Source organism: Homo sapiens, chromosome 1, assembly GCF_000001405.40.
Source record: "Homo sapiens chromosome 1, GRCh38.p14 Primary Assembly".
Lineage (NCBI taxonomy): Eukaryota > Metazoa > Chordata > Mammalia > Primates > Hominidae > Homo > Homo sapiens.
The window spans coordinates 106,425,025-106,449,936 of record NC_000001.11 but is presented as its reverse complement, the minus strand read 5'-3'; the positions used below and the strand labels follow the sequence as shown (position 1 = coordinate 106,449,936).

The 24,912-nt window shown below is 33.7% G+C and overlaps 1 long non-coding RNA gene across 3 annotated transcripts in view; it reads right to left on the bottom strand.

The window, feature by feature from the left end:
* The window catches only part of LOC105378887 (uncharacterized), a 37,615-nt gene extending 35,744 nt beyond the window's left edge, over nucleotides 1–1,871 (bottom strand). For 2 of the 3 annotated variants that reach the window (XR_947672.1, XR_947673.1), the window contains exon 1: nucleotides 1,749–1,871. This is a non-coding gene — a long non-coding RNA (uncharacterized LOC105378887). Of the gene's footprint in view, nucleotides 1–1,312; nucleotides 1,430–1,748 lie in introns of all 3 variants that reach the window. The other variant, XR_947674.1, reaches the window with a different exon arrangement.
* Between the last annotated feature and the right edge of the window lie 23,041 nt (nucleotides 1,872–24,912).

Below are 24,912 nucleotides of genomic sequence, written 5' to 3'. Positions count from 1 at the left end.
CATAAATGGTAAGGTCTTATATGAGTAAAATCTTAAACATCTCCAAAAGAAAACCTGTTAGATATAATACACAAATTCAGCAAAGTAGTATACAAAGTCAACACACAAATATCCTGTGCATTTCTATACACTAACAATCTGAACAGTATATTATAAAAACAATTCCATTTACAATAACATCAAAAAGAATACATAGTTAGGAATTAACTTAATCAGGGAGGTGAAAGCCTTGCACAGTAAAAACTACAATATATTATTGAAATAAAGATTTAAATAAATGAAAACACATCCCATGTTTATGGGCTGGAAGACTAAATGTTGTTAAGATGTTTATACTACCTAAAGTGATATAAAGAGTCAATGCAAGTCCCACCCAAATTCCAATGACTTTTCTTTTTCTGCAGAAATAGTAAAAACTGATTATAAAATTCATAGAAAACCTAAAGGGACCACCCCAGATGTCAAAATAATTTGAAAAAGAACAAAGTTGGAAGACTCATACTTCCTGATTTCAAAAGGTAGTAGAAATCTAGAGTAATCAAAACAATGTGGTGCTGGCATAAAGACAGGAATATAGATCAATGGAATAGAATAGAGAGCCCAGTAATATAACATCATGTATATAGCCAAATAATTTTTGACAGTGATTCCAAGACCATTAAGTAGGAAACAAAAATCTTTTCAACAAATGGTGTTGGGAAGTTGGGTCCTTACTTTACATCATATTAAAATTAACTAAAAATGGAATTATGAGCTAAATGTAAGAACTAAAAACATAAGACTCTTAGAAAAAAAGCATAGAGGAATAGCTTCTTCACACTGGATTTGGCAATTATTTCTTAAATATGACACTAAAGACATAAATAACAAAAGAAAAAATAGATAAATGGGATTATATCAAAATTTAAAACTTTTTTGCAGCAAAAGACATTATTAAGAGTATAAAAAGTCAACCTGTGGAATAGAGAAACATATTTGCAAATTTTATATCTGGTTAGAGATTATATAAAGAGATTATATATCTGGTTATATCTGGTTAGAGAACATATAAAAACCCCAACTCGACAATAAGAAACAAACCAATTTTAAAAAATTGACAAAGGCATTGAATAGACATGTCTTCAAAGAATATAACAAATGGTCAATAAGCACAGAAAAGATGCTCAACATCAGTCTTCAAGAGGAAATGCAACTAAAATTCACAATGCGATACCACTTTATACTTATTAATATGGCTATTATCCCAAAACAAAAAACAAAATTAAAAACAACCAACAGAAAATAATCACTCTTGGGAAATTGGAATACTCACACATTGCTGGTGGGAATGTAAAATGGTGCAGCTACTGTGGAAACCATATGGTGATTTTTCAAAAAATTAAACATCAAAATACTCTATGGTCCAGTGATTCCTGTTTGAGGTATGTACCTACAAAAGAGTCAAATGCAGGGACACAAACAGGCACTTGTACACCAATGTTCACTGGAGTATTATTCATAGTAGCCAAAAGGAGGAACCAATTCAAATATTTATTTAAAGATCAATAAATAGACAAATAAAATGTGATACATAGACAGTGGGATATTAATCATCCTTAAAAAGATATATGTTACAACGTGGATGAATCTTGAAGACATTATGGTAAGTGAAATAAGCCAGACATAAAGATACAAATTTTACATGGTTCCACTTATAAGAGATACATATAAGAGTTAAAATCATAGACAGAAAGTAGAAGAGTAGTTACCAGCTGTTGAGTGGAGACATGTTGAGGAATTCTTGTTTAATGGACACACAGTTTCAGTTCTGGAGATGGTAGTGGTGATTTGCAGCAGTGTGAATGTATTTAATTCTACTGAGCTGTGCACTTCAAAATGGTTAAAACGGTAAGCTTGATGTAGATATATTATCACAGTTAAAAAACAAGATACCTTTATTACCTCACAGTTGTGTAGGTTGGAATTCTCTGTTTCATTTCTCACACAGCTTAAATAATGGTGTTGGCTGAGGCTGCAATCTCCTTAAGAACCTTCTGCAAGTTTTTTTTTTTGTTGTTGTTGTTAAACATAATTCAGTTTCTTGTAATCATAAAACTGAGGTCCCTATTTTGTTGATTATCAACTGGGAGCCATTCTTACTCACTGTTTCCTGTCACCAGATTCTCTCCAAAACAGGGCAGGTTGCTTCTGCTTCCTGTCTTTTTTAAAGGTTTACCTGATTAGATCAGTTCTAACTGGGATAATCTTCCTTTTGATTAGCTCAAACTCAATTAGATTAGAGACCTTAATTATATCTTCAATATCTGTTTCTCCATAAAGCATAATCTAATTTTATGAGTGATAGCCCATAATATTCAAAGGTCCTGCCCATACTCAAGGGGAAAGTATTTGTGTAGGGCAAATACAACAGGGAATTAGACTCTTGGCAGCCATCTAAGAATTTTGCCTACCATATTTATACCCATCAGCACAAGAAGGAGATACACTTTTAATGCAAGAAAACACAATCTAAAATAAAAAATAACACATAAATATGTTTGTACTAAACAACAAAATATCTACTTTATAAGCAAAATGTCTAAATAGATTTGAGAAGACATAGAAGCATGATAATAAGAGTCTTTAACATGCAACTTTCAATACACATCATTTCAAATGGACAAAAAGAAAACATAGAAGAGATAACCATCATTAATAACACAAAGCATATGGACATATATTGAACATTACACACTGGTTATGAAAAATACACCTTCTTAAGTGTATATGAAACAGTTACAAAATTGATAGGTTATTAGACAATAGTGAAAACATGAATGAATTCCAAAATGTGGAAATATTTTCAACATTTTTTCTCGCAATGCTATAGGCTAGAAATTATTAACCTTATAAAAAGGACTAACAGTCTGTTAAACAAAACTTGTTTGAAAAGAGAAATATAAAAATGTAAAAATTTAAATTTTAAATTAAAAAATTAAATTCCTAAAAACAACACTAGTAAAAATACATATATCATCATCTATGAGATACATTTAAAGCAGTGATTACATAAAAATGCTAGCCCCATATACTTGTATTTTTAAAATTAAAGAATGAAAATAATTGAAATGATTTCTGAAACCAAAAGTGCAGAAACAACAAAACATACCAAAAGAAAATATGAGAGGAAATAGTAAAGCTGAAAGCAGGAATTAATGAAGTAGAAGAAAATATATTTATTAACTGAATAAATCAAAATTCTATTTTTAATTAGTATTATATAAAGCATTAGTTGACTACAGAGTGAAAAAGAAAGAAAATATACTCCTGCATCTTATGTAATACAGAAACAATAGAGACATTTCCACTAAGATTAGGAACAATCCCCACTACTAATCAATATTGTAATGAAAATATTAAACAGTGCAATTAAACAAATCTAATAGAAGAATAATAACTGGAAAAGAAGTAAAACTATCTCTGTTTTCATACAATATAACAGTAAACCTGAAAAACAAATAAATGATAAAACTATCTCAAGAAATGTAAGAATATAGTAAAATAGAGTATAAAATTAACATACAGAAATCCATATCTTTCATATACAAAATTAATAACCAGTCAAAGGATATAATGGCAGAGAACCCAATTTACAATAACAATAACAAAGATAAAATATTTAGAAATATAATTAACAAATGTTCAAAAACTCTATGAACATAGACAAAATTTAAACTTTTGAAAGATACAAAATTAAAATTGTACAAATGTAAATAATTTTTTCTTGTTTTTAGATAGAATCAAAAGCATCATAAAGATTTTAGTTCTGCTTAATTTATAAATGTTGCACTATCCAAATAACTATAGCAACAATGTATTTTCTGTGGATATAAGTTTATATAAATAAAAGCAAACACGCGAGAAAAGAAAACAATGGGAAAAAAAACTCATGAAGGGATATAATCCTTTCAGACAAAATATACTATAAATTTTATGAGTAAAATATTTTATACTACTGTCTGAGTAGACATACTTTAGAAAATAATAGAAAGACTAGAAATAGACATAAAACACATTTTATAAAACATACAAAAAGGTTTTTAAGAATTAAAAATTAAACCTTCCTCATAATTAGAGAAATGCAAATTATAACACTGATCTATCACATATCACATATAAAAATTGATGAATAATTAATGGAATGACAACACTTTTTATTGACAAGTTTGTGGGGAACCACAAACTCATATATTTCTGGTGGCCCTAAAAATTAGTATGAGCTCTGTGGAAAAAAACTGAAAATCCACCCTTATATAAATAGATAAATAGGAGTAGGAAAGCTTTTCCTGTAATAGAATTCTAACTAACCTACACACACACACACACACACACACACACACACACACACACACACACGTGTATATATATAGTTTATATGAATAAACATATACATATATATTGTTAGTATTTGTGGAAGAAAGGAAAGGGGAATGAGAAAGAAGAGAGCACAAACTTGAGTTATAACAAAATGTTAAAGTTATGAGAAAGGGACCACTATTAAGAACACTATTGCAAACATTTAAATTATTTTTTGAATTAATGACATTGCAGTAAAAATTGGAAAGAAAACAAGGTTGAATATTTTCAAATTATTACCAAGTAAATTTGATGGTACTGATAAATATTTAGAAAAGGAGAGGGAAAAAAAACCTTCTAAAAATTTAGTGAGACCAAGGATATCTTTTAACACTTCTCCAAACAGAGAGATCTGATAGCTTGATATAAGTTTCTAGAGATGTTTTGGAGGAAATTTATCTCTAGGGAGAATTTATGCCAATGAAAAAGAGAGTCAAAAAATTTAGAAAATTTACTATAGTGAAAAATTTTAGGGTAAATCTCTACTATTTAATACATGCTTTAAATCCAGGTTTTACTATTCATATAAATAGGTAATTCTCCAAAAAAGCACATTTCATTATTTATATATGATTATTTTATTCATAATTCTACATCAATATCTGCCATATTTCTGAAGTAGAACAGAATTTATCTTTTAAATTTACACAAATATATGTTTTGATGTAGCTATAAGATTTAATCACTTAATTTTGTACCCATATAACTATAAAATATTGCATATATCAATGGGTGGTTTTCTTCCTAAAGTACAGTGATAACTTGGCTATCATGCCCCATTAGTGAATTTTTTTGAACACTGGTTATACTAAAGCAGAACCGCTTAAAGTTATGGGAATATAAATGTAGCAGATAATTAAATGTGTACAGAATCTATTAATGTGTATAATTAAGATAGAACATCATTGGAGTTTATTATGAAACTATAATACCCTACAATCATCCTGAAAGGCACTGCTTGTCATGTCATATTGCTTAATTATAGCCAAGTAATTCATATAACTTGAAGTTACAGTAATTAAAACAATTAGTCTATAGTTAGACTGAGTTATAAAAGTTGTAATAAAAATATTAGAAAATTTAAATGTGAGCGGAAGAACTAGATTTTATCATGCACATTTCTTTGGAGATTGATTAAATTTATTCTATTGCACCGTTCTCAATTAGGAAGAAATGGCAGTGCTCCATTCCACTTAGTAGTTGTTAGTGCATAATATTATAAAATATTTTTGTGGACTTTAAAACTGCTAAATCTAAATGAAAACTTTAGATATAAAGCATCTCAATTAATTTATAAATAATGTCTCTTACTGGCTATGTAATATCTGTATGCTTCACTGTCATGTGCAAATTCATGATAATTCTCAAAAGGTTTCATTATGAGGATAACATATACATATGTATATACACACTTATGTGCAAGCTATTGTTACTACTATTACTATTATTACTGGTTTACTCTGATGCGTTTTCTTTTACACATTTTATTGGACTTAGAATCCAGAAAATGACATTTTCTTGCCCTTTTGATTTAATGCATCAGAAATTCCTTCCTTTTACATGTATGACTAATGGAATCTGAGACTTGAATGACCCTTGAAGTTGAGTCTACAAATGGTGTGTGAACTAAATGATTACTAAAATAATTCTTCTTCATTTGTGTCATGGTCTATTTTATACAAAGAATAGGAGAGTTCACATATGACCACCATTTGTCTTCACAGAGACTCACTCCCAAGCTAACATATGATGTTGAGAATTTATCTTATTTTCAGAAACCCTCAGAAAAGGAGACTCTATGAATTCCAACAATCTCTTCTCCTCTCTTCTGCATCATCAATATTCCTTCTGTGCTGGTAATTTTGACAACGGTGGTCTCCAAGGAATTGTGGGAATAAAGCTATGATTAGAGTAGGTTCAAGAGAGAAGAGAAGAAAAAGTGAATTCAGCATATATGAGTATAGATTTTGGGAAGATTTGTTTGAAAGTTAAGAAGAGAAACAATGAGGTAGATAATGCATAGGATAAGCAGAGAGGTTTTATTGGCTTTATAGTATGTTAGTCTTCACAATAAGCATTGAAGAGACAAAGCAGGTTGCTGAGAATACATGCTCACTTGGCATGGAAGGCTTATCTGGAAGCCTCTGAAGAGAAACTGTTTATCAGATTTGTGCACAAGAATGAAAATGAAGAGGGATTTATATTTGCAGCTCTCTTCCATCTCCCATTGGTCAAGGTAGACCTTAAGAGTTGCTCACTCTCCCAGCATTTTGTGATTGTGCCCTCCACCCCCATTTGTAGTTGCTCAGGAAGCCAGATTTCACACTCTGAAATGTGAAGCTTGATCCAAGACAGAGATGAAGGGACGATCTAGAGGTAGGACATTCATCAAAGGGAAAGGTCAAAGGTATCTCAAAAGTTGCAAACCTTTATGGCTCACATAATCCCTCACACCCAGAATGCCCAATCTCTTTTCTTGTATTATTTTTCTCCTTAAATACACTGATTTGTTGGTTGTCTGTTTACCACTCCTGGAATGTAATCCCTACAAGCCAGAGATGGAAATTGAGAGTATTACCTGTCTTTTCGTTGTTGGTGGTGGTAGTGCTGGTGTTGTTACATTTTGTCTTGTTTTACTGTTCCAGTTTCTATTATATATTAGGTGCTCAGTAGATATTTGTTTAAAGAATGAAGCACTGAAGAAAATTTTATTAAAATTGTTCATAGTTGAAGGAATATATGAAAGCATCTGATCATATGCAGATAAACTGTGCTAAAGCCAAATCAAGAATACTAGGCAAACAGGCTGGGGGCGGTGGCTCACGCCTGTAATCTCAGCACTTTGGGAGGCGGAGGCGGGTGGATCACGAGGTCAGGAGATCAAGACCATCCTGGCTAACATGGTGAAACCCCATCTCCACTAAAAATACAAAAAATTAGCCGGGCGTGGTGGCAGGCGCCTGTAGTCCCAGCTACTCGGGAGGCTGAGGCAGGAGAAAGGCGTGAACCTACCTGGGAGGCAGAGCTTGCAATGAGCCAAGATAGCGCCACTGCAGTCCGGCCTGGGGGAAAGAGAGAGACTCCATCTCAAAAAAAAAAAAAAAAAAAAAAAAAAGAATACTAGGCAGACAAAGACAACTCCCTCATCCCTGATCTTCAATTTAAACACCCACTTACAAATTCTGATAATATTCAAGATTTTCACATCACAAGTTAAAAAGTAAAATCTCAAAGAACAAACAATATTCCTTTTTGGTTTGCATCTGAAAGATCTGAAAAAATATTTTATAATTTGGGGCTTAGAGAAGCAGTAGTGAATTTTACTTTGATAAACCTTTAAAAGATCAAATTAGTGGTTATAATTCATTCAAATATGACAAAAGCAATCTTTAGCTAAATAGTACTTGGAAGGAAAAAAATTACTCTGGGTTTCGCCCAGGTAAATTGGTCAGAACTGAAAATTCATGTCTATTTCTTGGCTGGACCCTGAATTTTAACAATAAAGGTGTTTGTCACTGGTTTATTTGAGACAGCCATGGTAAGAAATACCTATCTATCTTGTTTTGAGGTTGCACATTACAGAGAAGATCATTTCATTTCATTTAACAATATACAGTATCAGGGACTATGGAAAATCTTCCAAATTGATTATTTGCGTAGGCCTTAGAATCCCAACTTGGAAACCAATGGGAAGATATAGTTATTTTAATGAGAACATGCTTTCTTGTAGTGAATTTTTATAGCAAGGAAATGAAGATGTCATTGCTAACGGGGGTAAAAAAGACCTCTGGAGTCTCAGCTCATCCAGCTCTTGTGATATGAGATGCCATTAACTACTAAATTAATGCAAATACAGCTTAATGAAATGTTTCTCATATTTTGATGAGAAAATATTTCTGCACAATACCACTCTGTACTTGATAAATATGAGAGTCAAACCAGAATACTCCACATATTGATTTTCAAAAACTATGAATATATTCCACATACTCTTTAAACACTCCTATGATCAACATGAGCCTCAAAGGTCGGTCTAATTATCAGATGAATTTGAATTGATTTAACATCAACTCTGTCAAATGGATAGCAACAAATTCAATGATGATAATTTTGGTTACAATGAGACCATATTGTAGGATGACAGATGAAAGCAATGTCAGAAACATAGGTTATGAGGCCCTCACTGAAATAAAGATTTTATTCCCATTCCTTTTGACCAGTTTCTGTAGGCATATGCAGGACCATTGCTACCCAGTGTGTGTTTCTCAGACCAATTATGTGCTGACATTTAGAGTACGCTTTTAAAAACTTTCATGGCAGTTTGACATTGTTGCACCATGCAAGTACATGATATTTTTAGAGCAATTAATTTTAGAGCATTTTACGAAAGTATTGGAATGCATTGGATTGCAGATTAAAAAGTAATAATAATATGTAATCAATGATAACTTGAGAAACACAGTCCTGGGATTTATAACTGGAGAGTATTTGCTGAGTGTGAGTCAGAGATTGTCTGAAATATAGTGTGGCATATGAAAGAGAAGAATTGAAAAAAATCTAATTTCACCCCCAAAAAGCATTGTTTGGAGCAAGAAGCATAAAATTCTTATGATAGAGCCAAAATCACAAGTTATAGTAATGTTTAAAAAAGAGCCTCCAGTGATCATCGTGGAAATTTGAGTGCTTTTGATTGAAAAAAATATTATCTTTGTGTGGATGTTTGGCTGTAAGAGAGTAAAAAGCAGTGTTTATCAAGTTGAAGGATAAATAATGTTATCATAGATTTTAAAATTATAAAATATTCCCAGAACATAGAAACGATATCACCTTCTCAGAGCGTAATGAGTGATATGAGCCAGCTGTTCAATTCACTAACCCATAAAAATTGAGTAGATTTGAAATTTCTGAAGAACTAAGAAAGTATTTTAGGCATTTGAAAAAATATTATAAATGAATAAAAAAACTAATAAAACTAATTATGATCCCCATAGCAGGGAAAATTTACATAGAGTATAAAAAGGAAACCTTGAATACTCAGGTGTACGTACACAGAAGACAGAGAAACTGCTTGCCTGAAATTACATTATAACCTGTATTAAAACAAAAAGCCGGGTGCAGTGGCTCATGCCTGTAATCCCAGCACTTTGGGAGACTGAGGCGGGCAGATCACAAGCTCAGGAGTTCGAGACTAGCATGGCCAATATGGTGAAATCCCATCTCTACTAAAAATACAAAAAGATTAGCTGGGCTTCCTGGCTCATGCCTGTAATCCCAGCTACTCCGGAGACTGAGGCGGGAGGATTGCTTGGAACCTGGGAGGTGGAGGTTGCAGTGAGCTGAGATTTGCGCCACTGCACTCCAGCCTGGGCAACACAGTGAGACTCCATCTCAAAATAGTAATAATAAAATATAAACAAAAAATTATAATATAATAAGATAACTGGTAAAACAGAAGTATGTTAAAAGGGAAAAAAAGTTGGCTAAGAAATTATGGAAAGGTTTCCCCTAGAAGTTAGCATTTGATCTGGAATATGAAATATAAAGAGTTTGTACGGTGAGCAGAGACACAGTCAAACTCAGTATCTTCTTATCTTTACAGTTCCATTCCTAGCATGTAGGAAGTTCCTTGAACTTGTGGATAAGTAACAAGAGCATTCTTAACTGTAGAGCAGGAGTGGTTCACGGGCTTGCATAAAACTGCAATAATAATAATGCAATGGTAAATTTTATAAATCAGCTTGGCTGGGCTAAGGGATGCCCAGATACCTGCTACAACATTATTTCGAAGTGTGTCTGAGAGGGTTTTACCAGAATAAACTAGCATTCGAATTCACAGACTGAATAAAGATGACTCACTGTCACCAGTGTGGGCATGCGTCATTCAACCTGTCCTTCTGGGGCTGAATAGGAAGAGAGTGAGATGAAGGGTGAATTCTCTTTCACTTATTTAGTTGAGGCATCTATCTTCCCCTTCCCTCAAATACAGGAGCTACTGGTTAGGTGTCAGGGACTTACACCAGCCAGGTCCCCATCTTTGGCAGACTGTGGCCTCAGACTGGAATTTACATCATCAGCTCCTCTGCTTTGCGGGCATTCAAACTCAAACTGAATTACACGTCTGGCTTTCCTGATTTTCCAGCTTGCAGACAGGGCACATTATAGGACTTTTTGGCCACCATAATCATGTGAGCCAATTCTCATAATAAATCTCCTCTTATAGATCTCTATATATCTTATACCAACAATTCTATGTCTTTGGAAAACTCTAAAACAAATAATGAAGAAGATAGGTAACATATACTGATAACTTATTATAAGCCAAACACTGTCCTAAGCAAGGTTAAGGTATCAATTCATTTAATCCTTCCATCTGTGAGTGACAGAAACTCAAAATTAACTGTGTGTTCTAACAAAAGAGCAGATGATTTCTCTCATATAAGAAAGCCAAATTTAAAAATCTTCTGTAATGGAAAAATGGTAGAATGAAGAGGTGAGTCAGTTCTCCTACAGGTAAGAGACGAAATCTTGAAAAATACATATTATTACAAAAGAACTGTGAAAAGACCTGGAAAAACATTAGAAAGAAGACAGAAACCAAAGCAGAGTTATTCTTGAAATAGTTCAACTAGAAAAACAAAAATAAAAGAAAACAAGGAGAACCCAGAAAAGATGTAAGTTGAAATGTGTGAATTTGATCCACTACGTATCTTCTTCTTTTTTTTTTTTTTTTTTTTTTTTTTGAGACGGAGTCTCGCTCTGTAGCCCAGGCTGGAGTGCAATGGCGCGATCTCCGCTCACTGCAAGCTCCGCCTCCCAGGTTCACGCCATTCTCCTGCCTCAGCCTCCTAAGTAGCTGGGACTACAGTCGCCCGCCACCACTCCCGGCTAATTTTTTGTATTTTTAGTAGAGACCAGGTTTTTTTTTCCTTTTTAATTGACCACATTCTCCAACTCATCTACAACTTGGTCAGCAGGAAGTTGAAATCTTACAGGTTTAAGATATAGGAAGACAACACAAAAAGTTGACAAAGAAACAATAAATTGAGAGTGGATTTCCAGTAATCAAGAAAGCCTCAGAGATGGTGAGACACTAAATATGAGTAAAATCAGCTCTTTATTTTCATGGGTTTCAAATCCACAGATGTCACATTTCAATATTATTTGAAAAAATTAACTGTGCAACAATCAAAAATAATATTAACAACTGTTAACGCAGCATTAACGTTGTATATGCTATAGTGAAAGAGATGATCTGGTGATCATTTAAAGTATGTAAAGGATGTACATAGGTTAAATGCAAATACTACATAATTGTATGTAAGGGACTTGAATATATATGGATTTTTTTTTTTATTTATTTTTAGACAGGGTTTCCCTCTTGTTGCCCAGGCTGTAGTGCCATGGCACGATCTCAGCTCACTGCACCCTCTGCCTCCCGGGTTCAAGCAATTCTTCTGCCTCAGCCTCCCGAGTACCTGGGATTACAGGCATGTGCCACCACACCCAGTTAATTTTCTATTTTTTAGTAGAGACGGGGTTTCTCCATGTTGCTCAGGCTGGCCCCGAACTCCCGACCTCAGGTGATCCACCCACCTCGACCTCCCAAAGTGCTGGGATTACAGGTGTGAGCCATCACACACTGCCCGTATGTGGATTTTTATATCCTCAGGGGTCCTGGAATCAAACCACATGGATATTGAGGGATCATTGTATATACTCTCTTCAAATCCTTGGCCGACCCTATTTTATGCAAGCCTATGGCAAATGCCAAGGAACCAGGCTAAATAAAATAAAATAAATCAGCAGCTGAAACTGTGAGACTTGAGTAAAGATATCAGCTACTGTACAAGCGGTGGAAGGGAGTTTGTAGTTTAAATCTGTACAAATTAGTTGCTACTAGAATTAAAACAAGAGCAGCAGCAGCCAACAGCAAAAAACCCTAATACTCCTCTAAAGAAGGCATCTTAGTAACAGTGATTTTTCCTCTCATGTGCCCTATGTTATATAACATCTTATTTACTTTTTTCCTTTGAGAGTACTTTTCATTCAAAAAAATAGAAAAGAATTCTAGAATTAAAAAAAAGAAATTGAAAATAAGCACATGTAATACAATTTCTAAACATTTTACAGTTTCTCTATTTGAAAGCAAATAAAAACATTCTTTTTTTTTTTTAGAACTTGGGGAACACTTTAAAAGTATTTTTCATGTCTTGATTTGGGGAAGAAGAGAGAAATATATTCCTAGGGGAGAGGAGATTTGGAAAGTCTTTTCTTGTAAGAAGAAGACTTTGAAGAGAAGTCACTTTATACAGAATATATTGTGAAGAGAAGACTAATGCCCTTACAATCCAGAGGAACCTAAAGGTCACCTTTGGTCACTTCGGAGGGATAACGTCATGGAACTCTCAAGAGTATTCATGTACCTTATCCCTTATTAGGTGAAAGGGTGTGATGCTCTTGTATCAAGTCAGAGGGCAGATTTTAGGTTTTCCTCACTGTGATTTTAGCTATCAACATTAGTGAACTTGCTATTCAAAGGCTAAATGTGGTTTCACATTTTGATAGTCAGATAAGATTAGATACAGACACAATTCCCAAATGTGGCAAGTAATAATCTTTTTAGAAAAGTCTAGGACTTAGTAAGTTCAACAGCTGATGTAAGGCCTTAAGAATTTGTATTAATGGCATTAAGTCAAATGCAGAAAATTCTGTAGGTAGCAAGAACTTTTGTTTCGAATTTATAAATAGAAGTATTTTTTGTTTCTGTTTTTGCTCTTACAATTCTCAAGATATTCTGCATTTTCATTGTCTCTGTGTGAGAGAATAGTGAAATTTTCAGGTAAAAAGAATACAATAATCACTACTGAAGATATAAAAACTCATATATGAAGAGGATAAAACTGTGCAAACTAGAAGACCTGTGTAATCATTTAATCACATAGCCATCTCTTTGAGAAGATAGGATTTAGTTATCATCAAAGTGAGTGGCTACATGAAGGATTGCATTATTTATGTTAGCTTAAGTGTAGTATTTCCATAGCAGAGGCTGAGTTCGAGTCTGTTACCACTTGCATTCATTTGATAGACCATGAAGTATTATCTTCCAGATGAAGCAGCTTGCATTTTAATGAGTATCCCTGGGAAGTGCCAGATAAACAATCAGAAAATAGGATTATGTTTAGTAAATGCTAAGGAAATGACTAGGACAGTAACATTTCAAACGCAAGAGCTATGAACAGTCAGTATAATACATTTTTCAAATAGCTAACAATGTATACATTCATAAGACAATAATCACTTATTTGGGGGGAATTCATCCTCTAAAAAGGTGCCTCTTTTATCAAGAGAATTTATTCAACTAACTCAACCTTGATGCTTTTTAGTAGCTATATAGAAGTGCACAATAAGTGTAGTGAAAATAATGTGGATTCCAACAGATCTGGGTCTGAAACCTAGCTCTATTGTTTATTGGCTCTGTATCTTGGATATTTTGTGTATCTTTTTGGACTTGAGTTTCCTTTCAATAATACTGGAATAATAATAAATACACAGCATGGTTTCAGGAAATATTATGTGAGAAGATTAACAGAAAAAGTTAAACATTTTACCTGACAGAGAAGTTTCCTAATCCTTACAGATAATTAACCCTGTAGAAATTATCTAATGCAATGTTAAAAAAAGTACACCCTTTTCTAAAGACACACTTTACAGAATTCCAAGACTATTATACAAAACAAATCCATTCACCCATCTTTTCTGAGTGTCATTGTCTATATAATAGTGTATATACATCCTCCTTTATAACTGAGGAAACTGAGATCTATTAATATTTAAATAATTATCCTCTGTTAAATTAAATTAAACTTGGCCTAAAGCTCCCTCTTTACCTAGTGAACTGCAACCAAACTTAGTATAAACAAATTGCAACCTAACTAAGAGTATATACTTGTAACAAATAGATAAGTCTCAGCCAATTATAGCAGCCAAGTTTTAACCAATCACAGGCTGCCAACTGATCAGACCTGTCAATGTAAGGCAAAAACTTCATCACACCATGTCCAAATAAGGGAAATGCTGAGCTGTAACCAATCACACTGTTTCTCTGTGTCACTTCCTTTTTCTGTCTACAAATACTGCCTGCCCACATTGCTGAGTGGAGCTCGCTGAACCTCTCCTGGTTCTGAGTGTTGCTCAATTCATAAATCATTCTTTGCTCAGGTGAATTATGCTAAATTTAAATTGTCTAAAGTTTTTATTTTAACACCTCAAACTCCCATATATGCATATATATATATTTTTTTTGATACAGAGTCTTGCTCTGTTGCCCAGATTGGAGTGCAATGGCGCAGTCTCGGCTCACTGCAACCTCCTCCTCCTAGGTCCAAGCAATTCTTCTGCCTCAACCTCCTGAGCAGCTGGGATTACAGACACACGCCACCACGCCCAGCTAATTTTTGTATTTTTAGTAGAAATGGGGTTTTACCATGTTGGCCAGGCTGGTCTTGAACTCCTGACCTCAAGTGATCCGCCTGCCTCAGCCTCCCAAAGTGCTGGGATTACAGGCATGAGCCACTGTGCCCGTCCAAACTCCCATAGATATTAAAGTCACTTGTCCTCCAATTCAAGGCTATTTGTACTGAAATATACTTTCCTATCTTTTACTCAATTAAAATATTCTCTTTTAACGAATGAGGCCAAAATTCACCATCTCGTGTAGAATAACCGCTATTTGCAAACCAAATGAGAAACTGCTCTTATATAATTCTAGACACTTTAATAGAGTAAGATATACTATGACTTTCTTTTCTTTATATTTTGGAATAATTATTGCCATATGTAGGCATGGATCTTGGAGTCAAATGTCAGTGTCATTTTTTGCCATCTGTGGGACTTAGGGCATACATTTATCTTCTTGAATAGTTTCTTTATTTGTAAAATGGGTCAAATAATACATCTCATTTACAGTTGTTATGAGAATTGAAGGATGTATTACCTATATAACTCTCATCCTAGTGCTTGGTGTAGAGTAGATATATACACTTTATTAGGCACTCAAAGCAGTCCTCAGATATTATTTACTTATTCTTGACACATTTGTAACAGGCAAATAGGTAGCAAAATAGCAATTCTTATATTTCTAAGAAAAAATTAACATCGTTTTCCACCCATCCTCTGTAATATTCTGCATAATGTCATTGTCACCACTAAATGTAGGATGGGCATTTTAACTCAGTATTCTATGCTTTTCATTTAGAATTCCTAAACTGAAGTATCTATGTGGTTTTTGAAAGCTAGAGGATCTATGTGGTCAATGTGATCATATAACACATAATATTCTCTTAAATAGCATGCAGATTAAGGGGTAAGAATGAGAAGAAATAATAATAGCTAATATATAGGCTTAGCTGGCATAGTGCATACTATGTGCCATTTCCTGTTCTAAGTGCTTTACTCCTATTAAAATATGTAAATATTCAGTACCCCCAAACAACCCTCAGAGGAAGGTTCTATTAATATCTATTTCTATTAATTATTAATGTGACAATAATTTTACATATATGGAAACAGAGGCACAGATAATTGCTGGCAGTAAGCACAGCTAGGATTCAAACTCATGATGTCTGACTACAGAAACTGCTCTGCTCCTAACCACTATGCTAAGTTGCATTTTTAATCATAAAGTATTTTTGTAGCAATCATCCATAATGATATCAAAGTATGCATCTATGTAATTAAAAGTTCTGAATACTGTATTTTTAAGAATGATTGAATCTTACTTTATTAATCTTTTATTAATTATTTTTCTTTTTAACCAGAAGTTGTTATTATGTTTCCTGGTGTTTTTCACTACTTTTATCATAGAGTAGAATGTTTTCTGAATGTTTTTTTGCAAAAAAAAATATTTTCTAGAATAAAACATACCATGTAACATCTTCATTCTTTTATTAGAGGAGTGTATCTGAGAAAATCTTTCAGCTCACAAGCCTCAGGAAGGAAAGAAACAGGTTCTAAATGCCATTTAGCTGACTAGGAAGATACACTCTAGCAAGCACACAGATCTCTCAACCTCAAACAAACTCCTCTTAAACACTCTGGAAATCATAGGAGGGCAGGATTTGGGGCCTGGTAGAAAGATAATCTAGGTTGTTCATTTTGTTATGGAAGTATTTCTTTAGAGTTTAGCCGAATAATGAAACGAGGTTGCAGGCAGAATGTAGTCTCTGGACATTGACTTTGATAATGTTAATAATTTAAATGTTGTAAGGGACTGAGTTTGTTGCTTAATAAAACAGGCACTTTTTGGCCTACATTCTTTTTCTCCTGTATTTTCTTATTTGTTTGTGAGAGAACAGGATTTAGTAGTAAAAATGAACCTTGTGAATGTATAATGTGTAGCATTACAAACATTTAAATAGGAACATGTTTCTAAGTTATTATTTCTTGAATTTTATAATTGTTTTTATGTGAATCATTACATGATTTTAATGTATTTTTGAGTCACATATACTAGATGTAGAAGAATGCCATATTTCTATTCTTCTCCTGACACTGTTTCCAGTACATCTACTGGCCTATAAAACATGTTAGACATTTAATGGGTTATCCCAAAGTTAACATGTTCAAAATAAAACGTTTACTTCCTCTCCACTAAAAGTTTCCTCTACCTCAGGCTTCCCCATCACAATTCATAGCACTACAATTTACTCAGAAATTCTGTCCCATATGCTATGATCCTTGATTCCCCTTTTTCTTTCCAATGCCACTTCCAATCCATCCTCTCCTCACCACCTCCTTCATTATCCCCATAGGCCATGTCATTAACCTCCGCCCCTGGGCTTATTGTATTAGATTTCAGTAGACCCCCTGCTTTCACTATTACTCCTCTATAAGACCCCAAGAGTGACATTTGTGAAAGAATAAATTGCCTTACTCACTCTGCTTAAAACTCACCAATGCCTTCCAATTACAATTAGATTAAATTCCATATGTATTAGCATTACTTACTTTTTGTTTTGTTTTGTGTTTGGGCCCTGCTACTTCTTTCACTATCTCCTTTCTTTCTCTGTTTTAGTCTCATTTTATTTTAGACACACTGATCTTTTTATTTTTTTCAAACATGCTAATTTTTCCCCCCTCATTTCAGGGCCATTGCATTAAGCATTGCCTCTGCTGGGACGTAGTATTCTCAGATCTTTGCATGATTTTATTTTATTTTTTTTGAGAGAGAGTCTCACTCTGTTGCCAGGCCGGAGTGCATTGGCATGATCTTGGCTTGCTGCTACCTCTGATTCATTCTTTTTAATCATCCACGTCTCTGCCTAGACATGGCTTCTTCTGAGATAACTTCTCTAAACCTGTTCTCTAAAAGGCACCTCAGCAGACTCACTCTTTATTACTGTCTAAAATTACATCCTATTAGTTTTAATTTTCTTATTTTCAGTGGCTGGTTATATTTTCCAAAGATGGTCCTAACAATATTTTCTGTTTCACACGCTCTTCTATACAGGCCACTCTCCATCAAGAAGCACAGTCTAGTTTTCCTCCTTTTGAATCTAGGCAGCTCATGACTGCTTCAACTAATACAGTAAGGTGCAAGCAATGCTGTGTGGCTTCTGAGGCTAGGTTATAAAAAGACTGGCAAGTTTTGTTGGTTCTCTTTGAAGGTTCACTGTAGGAACACTTTATCTCATAATCCAGCTTCAGTGCTGTGAGAAGCCCAGGCCACATGGCGAGGCCAAACACACGGGCTCTGCTCGCCAGTCCAAGCTGAGCTCAGCCTTTGGGTCGTTCCAGCTGACCCGAAGAATCCTCTAGTCCAGATGATTCCAGACTACAGCTCTAGAGTTTTCTCAGATAAGTCCCCAGACATTGGGCACCTGAGATAAGCCATCTTCTCTGCCTAATCCAAATTCTCACCTACAGAATCTGTAAGGACAATAAAATGGTTGTTGTTTTACACCACTACCTTTTGGAGCACTTGGCCATATGACAATGAGTTACCGGAATATTGTCTTTCTAACCCATTACAAGTTCCATGAGAGTCGAAGATTTTATTTTTGACAAAAACAGTGCTTAATAAATTTTTAATTGAATTTATATTATATATATAATATATATATTATATATATTATATATAATATATATATTATATATATTATATATAATATATAAGTAATATATAAAAATATATTTATATATAATAAATATATAATAAATGTAAATATATATAAATATATATAAATTATATATATTATATGTGTATATATTATATAATATATAATGCATATTATATGCAATATATAATATATAATGCATATTATATGCAATATATAATATATAATGCATATTATATGCAATATATAATATATAATGCATATTATATGCAATATATAATATATAATGCATATTATATGCAATATATAATATATAATGCATATTATATGCAATATATAATATATAATGCATATTATATGTAATATACATAGAACAATATATGATATATATTATATATTATACATATTATATATATACACACACACATATATAGATATATCTATATTACACATATATATATATATATAAGTTTATTAAGTAGTATTAACTCACAGGATCACAAGGTCCCATGATAGGCTGTCTGCAAGCTGAGGAGTAAGGAAGCAAGTCCAAGTCTCAAAGCTTAAGAATTTGGAGTCCAATATTCTAAGACAGGAAGCATCCAGCACAGGAGAAAGATGTAGCCTGGGAGGCTAAGCCAGTCTAGCCTTTTCATATTTTTCTACCTGCTTTATATTCTGGCCACACTGGCAGCTAATTAGATTATGCCCACCCAGGTTAAGATTAAGTCTGCCTCTCCCAGCCCACTGACTCTAATGTTAATCTCCTTTGGCAACACCCTCACAGACACACACAGGAACAATAATTTGCATTCTTCAATCCAGTCAAGTTGACACACAGTATTAACCATCACATACCTATATAAAATTGGTTCTGCTCTGGAATTTTAATTTCCTTAGTGTGCATTTGTATTCTTTTATCTTAATTTACTTATTGAGTTCTCTGTATTATAAAATACTAATTCAATTGAACATAGGGACCCAAAAGAAATTAAAAAATCACAAAATTAACTATTTGGTACTCTTACAACTGCCTTATTTAAGGGAAGAAAAAATGAAAATACAAAGTGCCTCTGAAGATATATGAAATTATTTCCACTGCACCCTTGAAACTTGAGTACCAATTGATTTTTTTCCAAAACACTTTTTAATGTTGAAATTTGGGAAGAAGAAAGGTCAATGCTATCAATGAAGTCATATAGATTTTGAGTAAGAGAGAGTAAATTTTTTAGTAAAGTGATGCAATCATGTTTAATAACACACACATTGTGATTTTGAATATAATATATTAAAATTCACATTAAAATGTATTGAAATTACATTGATTTTGAATTTGTATATTAAAATGTATTCAGAAGCAGAATATGGCATTGGCTATAAAATGAAGTAATAAATTCTATATCTGAAGTCTGGATGTCATGGGAACCATAGAATTTCTATTTAAAAGTTATTAATGATAACTTTTAACATATGCCATTATTCTATCAATTCACTGGACAGATTTTTCACAGATGTAACAAATTTATTACTCTAATTTTGCAGATGAAATAAACTATCTAAGACAGCAAGGTATTTATCTTCATTGTATAAGATAAAAGAAAAAATACAGACATAGATCAGGTGTTTAAATATGCAGCAAAGACAATTATTTCTCTCACTCTATGTTTTTTTTTTGGGGGGGGCGCCTAGGTTAGATTTTAGCTGAAGATCATGTGGCAAGGCCCTCAGCGTGCTACCAAAATCCCACCTCAGCATTCACATATATTTGCTTTTTCTGAAGGTAAAGGAGCACGTATATCCTGTGGTTAAGGCAGCACAGAAATGGACACTAATATGATTTGGTTGTGTTCCCACCCAAATCTCGAATTGTAGCTCCCATAATTCCCACATGTCATGTGAGGGACCTGGTGGGAGGTAACTGAATCAGGGGGATGGGTCTTTCTTGTGGCTGGTTTCATGATAGTGAATAAGTCTCATGAGATTTGATGGTTTTATAAAGGGGAGTTTTTATGCACATGCTCTCTTTCTTGCCCACCACCGTGTAAGACATGCCTTTTCCCCCTTTCACCTTCCACCATGATTGTGAGGCTTCCCCAGCCATGTGGAACTGTTGAGTCCATAAAGCCTGTTTTTCTTTATAAATTACCCAGTCTTTGGTATGACCTTATTAGCAGCATGACAAAGATGAATATAGATATTTAACATCTTTGGAAGTCTTCCTAAACTGATTTGTAGGATTCGATAGATACTTGCTTTGGCTTCTTGTATTTTAAAGGAATAATTATAAATTATAAATTTAATTCTCCATGGTTATTCAGAACAATTCAATTAATTGACACACAAATAAAACCACATGTATACACATCATATGAACTACTGAAAACTAAATTACAGACACATATCTTATTATCAGAGATAATAGATACACTGTAAACATTGGAATAATGATAAGAATAACAAGAAAAGAAAATAAAGAGATAAGATACTGAAGCAATATCTTTAAAGAGTTAAAAGAAGAAAAAAAGTGTCAAATCAGAATTCTATATTAGCAAAAATATTCTTATGACTTAAGGCAAATTCAAGTTACAGAGAGACTGAAAGAATGTAAACTCAGAATATATGTACTGTAAAAAATAGTATCGGATGTTCTGAAAATGAGAGAAAATTATATATATGAAATCTGATGGAATTATGTACCTGTAGGAAGGAATGAAGAACACCAGAATAGGTATAAATTTGGATAAACATAAAATTCAATGTGTGTATTTGTGTGTATGGGTATATAATTTTTTAAAAGACATTCTTTAAAAGAAAATTAATAACAAATGTTGTGAAGCTTATAATATACATAGAAGTTAAACAAAAGAAAAATTATAACCAGAGAACTAAAAATAAACAAATAAAACAGGTGGGAAGTTATCCATTGAATTGGACTGCTGTTATTTTACTACATTGTATAAAAACTAGTGTAATATTATTTTAAGAGAAACTATGGTAATTTAAAGTTTCATACTGTAATTTCTAGAATAACCACCAAAAATAACAAAACAAGTTATTGCTAAAAAGTCAAGGGAAGAGAAAGGAAGGAATAGTAAAAACAATGATTTAAATCCAAAGGTTACAAGCAATGAAAAATAAAAAACAACAAGAAAATAATTGAATAATTTGGAAACAATTACCATGATGGTAGACTTAAGCTCAACTATATCAATAATTACATCAAGTATCAATAAAATAAACACATTAAAAAAAGGCAGAATTTTTCAATCCATGTAAAAACACAAAAACACAAGACCCAACTATGTTTTATTCACAGGAAACCCACAGTAAGTATAAAGATACAGACTGTAAGAAACAACAGGGTAAAAACAATATACCAAGACTTTTTGTTTTATTTACACTAACAAAGTAGACTTCAAGAAAGACTGTATTAGTCTATTCTCATGCTGCTAATAAAGACATACTCAAGACTGGGTAATTAAAAAGTAAAGAGGTTTAATTGACTCACAGTTCTACATGGCTAAGGAGGCCTCACAATCATGGTCTAAGCGAATAAGGAGCAAGTTACATTTTACATGGCAGTAGGCAAAAGAGAGCTCATGCAGGGGGACTCCCATTTATAAAACCATCAGATCTCCTGAGACTTATTCACTACCATGAGAACAGTATGGGGGAAACTGCTTTGTGATTCAATTATCTCCACCTGGCCCCACCCTTGACATGTGGGGATATCACAATTCAAGTTGAAATTTGGGTAGGGATGCAAACAAACCACATCATTCCATCCCTGGCCCCTCCTAAATCTCATGTCCTCACATTTCAAAATTCATCATGCCTTCCCAACAACAGTCCCCTAAAGTCTTAACATATTTCAGCATTAACTCAAAAGTCCAAGTCTAAAGTCTCGTCTGAGGCAAGGCAAATCTCTTCTGCCTCTGAGCTTGTAAAATCAAAAGCAAGTTAATTACTTCCCTGATACAATGGGGGTACAGCCATTGGGTAAATATACGCATTCCAAATGGGAGAAATTGGCCAAAACAAAGGGGCTACAGGCCCCATGAACGTCCAAAATTCAACAGGGCAGTCATTAAACTTGGAAGTTCCAAAATGATCTCTTTTGACTCCATGTCTCACATCCAAGTCATGCCAATGCAAGAGGTGGGCTCCTACAGCCTTGGGCAGCTCTGCACCTGTGGCTTTGTAGAATATAGCTCCCCTCATATCTATACATATCTATATATAGATACGTATCTATATATATATAGATATAGATACGTATATATACGTATATATACATATATACGTATATATACATATATACGTATATATACATATATACATATATATGTATATATACGTATATATACATATATATAGATATATATATATGTATATATATATGTATATATATATACACACATATACATATATATATAGATACGTATGTATATATCCATATATATATAGATATCGTATATCTATCTATCTATCTATATATCTGGAGTGCAATGGCGTGATCTCAGCTCTCTACAACCTTCGCCTCCTGGGTTCAAGCGATTCTCTTGCCTCAGCCTCCTGAGTGGCTGGGATTACAGACATGTGCCACCATGCCCAGCTAATTTTATATATTTTTTTATTATTATACTTTAAGTTCTAGGGTACATGTGCACAACGTGCAGGTTTGTTACATATGTATACACGCGTCATGTTGGTGTGCTGCACTGATTAACTTGTCATTTACATTCGGTATTTCTCCTAATGCTATCCCTCTCCACTCCCCCCACCCCATGACAGGCCCCGGTGTGTGATGTTCCCTTCCTGTGTCCAAGTGTTCTCATTATTCAATTCCCACTTATGAGTGATAACATGCGGTGTTTGGTTTTTTTGTCCTTGCGATAGTTTGCTGAGAATGATGGTTTCCAGCTTCATCCATGTCCCTACAAAGGACATGAACTCATCTTTTTTATGACTGCATAGTATTCCGTGGTGTATATGTGCCACATTTTCTTTTTTTTTTTTTTTTTTACAGTTTTATTTTATTTTATTTTATTTTTCACGTATCAATAGTTTGTTTTTTATTGATGCATAGTATATTCTATTTTTTTTTTTAATTTTTTTTATTATACTCTAAGTTTTAGGGTACATGTGCACATTGTGCAGGTTAGTTACATATGTATACATGTGCCATGCTGGTGCGCTGCACCCACTAATGTGTCATCTAGCATTAGGTATATCTCCCAATGCTATCCCTCCCCCCTCCCCCGACCCCACCACAGTCCCCAGAGTGTGATATTCCCCTTCCTGTGTCCATGTGATCTCATTGTTCAATTCCCACCTATGAGTGAGAATATGCGGTGTTTGGTTTTTTGTTCTTGCGATAGTTTACTGAGAATGATGGTTTCCAATTTCATCCATGTCCCTACAAAGTATATGAACTCATCATTTTTTATGGCTGCATAGTATTCCATGGTGTATATGTGCCACATTTTCTTAATCACATTTTCTTAATCCAGTCTATCATTGTTGGACATTTGGGCTGGTTCCAAGTCTTTGCTATTGTGAATAGTGCCGCTATAAACATACGTGTGCATGTGTCTTTATAGCAGCATGATTTATAATCCTTTGGGTATATAGCCAATAATGGGTCAAATGGTGTTTCTAGTTCTAGATCCTTGGGGAATCACCACACTGTCTTCCACAATGGTTGAACTAGTTTGTAGTCCTACCAACAGTGTAAAAGTGTTCCTATTTCTCCACATCCTCTCCAGCACCTGTTGTTTCCTGATTTTTAGTAGAGATGGGTTTCTCCATGTTGGTCAGGCTGGTCTAGACTCCCAACTTCAGGTGATCTGCCCACTTCAGCCTCCCAAAGTGCTGTGATTACAGGCGTGAGCCACCGTGCCCCGCCAGTATATTTTGATACAGGCATAAAATGCATAATAATTGCATCAGGGCCAATGGGATATCTATCACATCAAACGTTTATCCTTCATGCTACAAACAACCCAATTAAAATATTTTAGTGATTTTAAAATGAATAATCAAATTGGTTTTGACTATAGTCACCATGTTGTGCTATAAAATAATAGGTCTTCTTCATTCTTTCTAAGTATGTTTTCGTACACATTAGCAGTCTCCACTTCCCTGCTGCCGCCTGCACCACCATTCTCAGTCTTTGATAACCACCCTATTCTCTGTCTCTGTGAGTTCAACTGTTTTGATTTTCTGATCCCACAAATGAGTGAGAACATGTGATCATGTGATGTTTGTCCTGCTGTGCCTGGCTTATTTCACTTAAAATAAAACCTCTAATTTTGTCCATGTCATTGAAAAAGACAGGATCTCATAATTTTTTATCACTGAATAGTACTCCATTGTGTATAAGCACTATAGTTTCTTTATC